Raw genomic sequence first — 6,789 nt, forward strand, 5'->3', positions numbered from 1 at the left:
TTGAAACAAAGTGAAAAATATATTTGAAAGGGATATCATGTGCCACTTAAACAGATTAACCATTCAGGTCCTCTTTTAAAACTAAATAAGCTTGTGGTCAATGTTTCATCTTTGTCACATTACAACGTTCGTAAAAGCTTGTTAGGACTTTTGTTCTTCTTCAATTTTAGAAAAGTGGTTAATCCAAGGACCAATGTGACTTTGATGTACTGACCTGGAAAGTTAAAGATGGAATCACTCAATTACTATTCTTTTTGTAAATTTTTAAACACCATAAAGCATTTAATGAACTGGAATTGATAGGTGAACTGTGTCATTTTAATAAGCATAATGTAATCACGTCATATTTTGTTTTGTTTGCAGGCAGAAATTTAGATAAGGATATCCTTAAACAGCTGTTTATAGCTACTGTGACAGAAACAGAAAAGCAGTGGACAACACATTTCAAAGAAGATCAAGTTTGTACATAACACTAGAGGCATTTCTTATCAAAAGGATTGGATAATAAAAATAAGTTTCTACTGGGTATATTTCAAGCATTTATTTATTACTTTAGTTACGAATTCCAATATACTTTAAAATGGTATTTGTTTTACAGCATACATAAAATGTAGCAAATCAGTACTGTAAAACATTTAACATTCATACAATTATATATAATATCCTTTTTTTTAAAGAATGGTATTTCACAAAAATATCTTTTGAAATTGGCTTTGGAGTTTACATATACTGAACATGAAAGTTTATAATAATGATGATACAACTTTCAACATTGTCATTTTTTCTTAGAACTTCAGCTGATTGCAGAGATATAATGATTACATTGTTATTAAATTTTTTTAACACAAGTAAGTGTCACCATTTTATGACATGAAATAAAAGGTTATGACTGTTATTGATGTTGATGTTGACGACCTGATCACCTGGCTGAAGGAGTGTTTGTCAGGTTTCTCCATTGTAAAGTTACTCTTTTCCCCCATTTCATACTGTGCTCTTTGGAAGGAAATCACTATGCACAGCCCACACTAAAGGAATGGGGAGTTGTAGTGTACTTTCTTGGGAGTGGTCTACATAATTAATTGAAATTCTTCTGCGAGGGACAGTTGTCCCTTTCGCTTTATTAGTTCGATCATTTATGTTTATCAGTGTGGACACATGAATATTTTATACTTTGGGTTACAATTTAATACTACTTTATTTTGTTGCTCAAATTATCCCAGCTTTGACCATTGGGAACTCTTTCCGTTATCTCCTGTTCCCCCCTTTGACATACCCCCATCAATGTGGGTTTTGTGTTTTGTTTTTGAGCGCCTCCTTATTTTTCTCCTGTATTTTTAAATAACCCCAATCCCTATTGAAGCTGGCTCTAGGAAAACTAACAATACTCCCTTTCCCAGGTCATCCGATTCCTATGCTGATGGAGGAAATTTGCCTCACATGCTGGGGGGCGCTGGGGAGGAGGTGTCTGGGATTATGTGGTTGAATAAGACACCTGGCCTGGCCCTCCTGGAGCTTAGTTTAGTAGGTCACACAAGCAGTCATTGGTAAATTTGGGATTCAAACAAATCTGTTAGGCTCAAACCTGTCTGTTATTTGTCCTCCAAGCTTCATATAAACTGAGGAGCCTTAAAGGGTAAAAACTTCAGGAGCAGCAAAGTTTCAAAAAAAGATCAGCAAGAAAGCTCTTTTCCAGATTTTATCCTGAAGGCACTAGCTACTTTAAGCTATTTTTTATTATATTTTGCCCTTGCAGTTGGCGTTTGATTTCTCACTGAACATTCATTGTCATAATTATAGACACTATGTGACTATCAAGGGCATAATATTCTTTCATGCTGCATTTTTATTAGATGGCACCTCAAAGTTTTCCCAAGTAGGTGGGTTTTAAATTATGAATATATACCGTGGCATAGTATCTTACTTAGTATTTTAATAAGATTCTTATTTATATAACAAATTTTTTTTATTCCTCTGTAGTGCTACTTTAGTCTCTGAGCTAATTTTCATGAAGCCAATCTAAAAATCGTGTTATTTCTAAGGATGTGGAGCGAGTGAGATGAACAGTTGTGCTGTCATATTGCCCCTCCCCAGTGCAGATAGTGAATGAGGACCCACTGATTTAAAGGCAACACTGCAGCCCCTTCTTGCCTCATTGAAGTCCCAAGTTTTATTACAGTAAAAGCACTTAATGTTGACATTTCTGAAAGAATGAAGAGGCTGGGCATGGCGGCTCACGCCGGTAATCCCAGCACTTTGGGAGGCTGAGGCAAGCGGATCATGAGGTCAGGACATCGAGACCATCCTGGCTAACACGGTGAAACCCCGTCTCTACTAAAAATACAAAAAATTAGCCAGGCGTGGTGGCGAGCGCCTGTAGTCCCATCTACTTGGGAGGCTGAGGCAGGAGAATGGCGTGAACCCAGGAGGCGGAGCTTGCAGTGAGCTGAGATCGCCCCACTGCACTCCAGCCTGGGCGACAGAGCGACTCCGTCTCAAAAAAAAAAAAAAAAAAAAAAAAAAAAAAAAGAATGAAGAGCCAGAGCCAGGCATAGTGGCACGCCTGTAGTCCCACCTACTCAGGAGGCTGAGGCGGGAGGATCACTTGAGCCCAGGAATTCAAAGCCAGCCTGCGCAACATAGACCCTGTCTCTAAAAATGAATTGGTTATAAAGGATGAAGAAAGGAAGGAGGAAAGGGAGAGAGAGAAGCCCTTATAGAGTGGGTGCATTTCTTGTATGTGGGGCCACTTTGTAAGAACAGGATTTTTCAAACTGGGCCCATACTGGTATGTGTGAAATCAATTTAGTTGGTTATGGCCATTTTTTTTTAAAAGGAAATATCAGTGATCACTATAGTGTAAGTATATTGTTTCGTGAAACCCATCTTAGTTATGTATTATGTCTGTATGTGTGAGATTGTGATATAAAATGTATTTCTGTGGTTAAATATTCAAAGAAATTGGAGAACCATTGCTACAAGGGGACAGAGGACTCCGTGTGAGCTCTCCTGCCTTCCCTGAGTAAACTTACACAATTTAGTGCTGGGACATTTGAGCCTTTTCTGAAAATTTGAGTCAGGGAGAGCATCTTGAGGAGGTGGGAAGGAAGGTAGAAGGAGCAAAGCAACACCCCCCTGAAGCCTGGGAATATTGTCAGAACCTTAAATATAATTCAGCTCACCATTCTGGGTAAGGACAGACTCTACCAATGAAAATGGGTGATTACCAGCTGTGAAACACAAAAACATACTTTTACGGTTACACATTCCTTTACAAACAACCGTGTACATTTCAGCCTCCTGCCCCACCATTTCTTTTCTCCAGGCGGGAAGGCTGCATGTTGAGGTGGTCATAGAATGTTGAGTATCATACTTTCCTACCTCGCTTTTATTTGCGCGGGTTTAAATGCGCCTTAACAGAACCCGTGCAAAGGCTTGCCAACTGTCTGGCTGCACCGGATGAGTAGAGCATCTTCCTTGGTGGCAGGTGGGTGCGAGGAGGAGGGGGCTGGGCTTTTCTCCGGACGGGTGTTTGCCCAGAAGACCATCATCCCTGGACTACGTTAGGAGGAAGTGGCACCGCTCCGAGGTAGGGGAAGAAGGGTTATAAAGGGGGGAGTCCACCACACATGGTCTTGAAGAAGCTTTTATAAAAGGCAAAGGCATCTTTGCCGGACGTTGTTGCAAAGGAGTAGAAACAAGCAGACGAAAACATCCCAAAGGGTAACCACTAGCGTTCCTGCTTCTTGCAACATTCATCCCAGGCTTCCAGCTCAGCCCGCCCCAGGCCAGGTGATCGGCCGCCACATCCCCTGCGACTGAAGCACCTGCTCCTCCATGAACCTGCCAAGAGCTGAGCGCCTTCGCTCCACACCGCAGCGCAGCCTCCGGGACTCCGATGGGGAAGACGGTAAAATCGATGTCCTGGGAGAGGAGGAAGATGAAGACGAGGTGGAAGACGAGGAGGAGGCGGCGAGCCAGCAGTTCCTAGAGCAGTCGCTCCAGCCGGGGCTGCAGGTGGCCCGGTGGGGCGGGGTTGCGCTTCCCCGAGAGCACATCGAGGGCGGCGGCGGCCCGAGCGACCCCTCAGAGTTTGGCACCAAGTTCAGGGCACCGCCAAGGTCTGCGGCGGCCTCTGAAGATGCCCGGCAGCCGGCAAAGCCCCCCTACTCGTACATCGCGCTCATCACCATGGCCATCCTGCAAAACCCGCACAAGCGCCTCACGCTCAGCGGCATCTGCGCCTTCATTAGTGGCCGCTTCCCCTACTACCGCCGCAAGTTCCCCGCCTGGCAGAACAGCATCCGCCACAACCTCTCGCTGAACGACTGCTTCGTTAAGATCCCCCGCGAGCCGGGCCACCCAGGCAAGGGCAACTACTGGAGCCTGGACCCCGCCTCCCAAGACATGTTCGACAATGGCAGCTTTCTCCGGCGTAGGAAGCGTTTCAAGCGCCACCAACTGACCCCGGGAGCCCACCTGCCCCACCCCTTCCCTCTACCTGCTGCACACGCCGCCCTGCACAACCCCCGCCCAGGCCCTCTGCTTGGGGCCCCTGCCCCGCCGCAGCCAGTCCCGGGGGCCTACCCCAACACCGCCCCCGGGAGACGCCCTTACGCTCTGCTGCACCCGCATCCTCTTCGCTACCTACTGCTCTCGGCCCCCGTCTATGCCGGGGCACCGAAGAAAGCAGAAGGCGCGGCCCTGGCGACCCCGGCACCCTTCCCGTGCTGCAGCCCTCACTTGGTCCTCAGCCTTGGGAGGAGGGCAAGGGTCTGGCGTCGCCACCGGGAGGCGGATGCATCTCTTTCAGCATTGAGAGTATTATGCAAGGGGTCAGGGGAGCGGGTACAGGGGCTGCGCAGAATTTGTCCCCGACCGCGTGGAGCTACTGCCACCTGCTCCAGCGACCATCAAGCCTGTTGCATCCCCAGACCGCTGCCCCTTTGCTGCAAGTGTCCGCCGCCGCCGCTGCTCGGACAATTTTGCAGCAATAGCAGCAGCATCAGGAGGAGGACTGCGCCAACGGCTGCGCTCCCACCAAGGGCGCGGTGCTGGGCGGGCACCTGTCGGCCTCGTCGGCCCTGCTGAGGTATCAGGCAGTGGCAGAGGGCTCTAGGCTGACATCGCTGGCTGCCCCTTTGGGCGGAGAGGGGACCTCACCAGTTTTTTTAGTATCGCCCACGCCCAGTTCCCTGGCCAACTCCGCAGGGCCCTCCTAGAGCCAGGTGGGAGTGGGGAGCGACCCGCAGCTGCTCACTCCACCTTGCGCGGCCCATACTGGGCGTGTGCATCTGAATCCCGCTGGAGAGCAAACACGAACTTCTGTTCGCTGCAAAATGGTTAGAAAGAAACAGCTGGATTACGTTCCTCTAAAAACCACCTGAACGTAACCTTCGCAGGGCGTCAAGTCATCTTTTCTTGCCTTCGGTTGTGGCTTCTATGGCTGTCCCGATTTGCGCATTTCCTGGGGTACTATGAACGTGAGTGGGGTATTTTGTTCTGGCATTAAAAGAAAAACAAGCAAGCAAACAAAAACACAGCCTCCGATGCCAAACATGTTCCCCCTTCTTCACTTCCTTGGAGCTGGAAGTATTATTCCTAAGTCTAGTGCAAAATGCTTCTACTCTCTGTGTCTTCCTGATAGGGATGTTTAATGTAAGTAGGATATTAATTTCAGAACATTGATTTCTTATCTGTGTGTCTGACGTGCCATCTTTAATGTTAAAATTAAGGTGTTAAAATTAAGCCTAGTTATATAGACGAAATAAAATGCTAAGTCACTACACTACATCGTTTATTTTCTATTACATCTCATTCTTCCCTTTCTAAATGGAACTTTTTAAAACCTACGTTATTTTCCCTCAAACAATTTATTTTCACAATTCATATTTATTATAGATAGCAGAAGTAATCCATTTTAATATGGCCTTTAAAAATTCCAAATATTTGAGGTTGAAAATGTCCTGGCTTTTAAAATAGGAAATTTACTATTTATGAGACTTCTAAAAGAAAAGAATAGGAGGGCATGTAAATATATTCTCCATTTATTTTTCATCACCCCTCAACAAGCTGGAAAACCATTTGAGATAAATTTGGAATGTAGTGGCCAACATGTACTCAGAGAAAATAAAAGGCTATAAATTATATATATATATATATATATATATTTTAAGCACTAGAATTTTCAAAACTTATTTCTTAAAAAAAAAAACAACTCTGAAAAGACTTTGCAACTAGAAAGGTTTAAGTGTTACTCGGCGTCAGGGGACGGAGTGGGGGGAAACCAGACAAGAACGCCCATCATGAATTGCTCCCCACAAAGAAAACAAATTTCTAGGAACTTGGCCGTTTTCCCCTGTCCTGAGTGGGGTTCCCGATTCCGTGCCGCTTTGAGGGAAGCTGCTCCGTGAATGTGAGAAAGTTTTTCCCCCAGCCCCCATCTACTCCCCACCCCCAGCTATGAATTTCTTATTTCAGGAGGGAGGACAAACATGGAGACACACATTTTTACAGGAGTCTAATTGGCCGATTTTTCTCCGGCTTCTCTTCTCCATCCCGTCTCTTGGAATTTCTTGGCACGCCCTACCTGAGATCCCCTACGGGAGATTTCCTCTTGGCTCCTGCGGTTCTGAGGACGTTCTGAAAAGTTCCCAAGCCCCACCTTTGGTAGCTGCCCAGACCCCAGCTTCCAATTCTTCCCTCTTCTTTGCACAGGTAGCCGTCAGCCCCATAGCACCACCAGCGTCCAAAATAGACCACTTTTAGCAAATCCGGCAGGGCTGGGGCAGT

At 46.1% G+C, this 6,789-nt stretch overlaps 2 protein-coding genes across 8 annotated transcripts in view; both read left to right on the forward strand.

The window, feature by feature from the left end:
- The window catches only part of ZNG1C (Zn regulated GTPase metalloprotein activator 1C), a 58,053-nt gene extending 57,135 nt beyond the window's left edge, over nucleotides 1-918 (forward strand). For all 7 annotated transcript variants that reach the window (NM_201453.4, NM_001378113.1, NM_001378114.1 and 4 more), the window contains one exon: nucleotides 364-918. In NM_201453.4, coding sequence (NP_958861.2) covers nucleotides 364-470 — 107 coding nt within the window. In that variant the 3' untranslated portion in view covers nucleotides 471-918. The remainder of the gene's footprint in view (nucleotides 1-363) is intronic.
- Nucleotides 919-3,749: 2,831 nt separating this feature from the next.
- FOXD4L3 (forkhead box D4 like 3) lies at nucleotides 3,750-5,967 on the forward strand. Its single transcript, NM_199135.4, has one exon. It carries the CDS (start codon nucleotides 3,835-3,837, stop codon nucleotides 5,086-5,088), a length of 1,254 nt encoding a protein of 417 aa, NP_954586.4. The 5' UTR covers nucleotides 3,750-3,834; the 3' UTR covers nucleotides 5,089-5,967.
- The last annotated feature ends 822 nt before the right edge of the window (nucleotides 5,968-6,789 follow it).

This window comes from Homo sapiens, chromosome 9 (genome assembly GCF_000001405.40).
Source record: "Homo sapiens chromosome 9, GRCh38.p14 Primary Assembly".
Classification (NCBI taxonomy): domain Eukaryota; kingdom Metazoa; phylum Chordata; class Mammalia; order Primates; family Hominidae; genus Homo; species Homo sapiens.

Coding starts and splice junctions, on each gene's coding strand:
- FOXD4L3 (NM_199135.4), top strand. CDS start 3,835: ATGAACCTGCCAAGAGCTGAGCGCCTTCGCTCCACACCGCAGCGCAGC.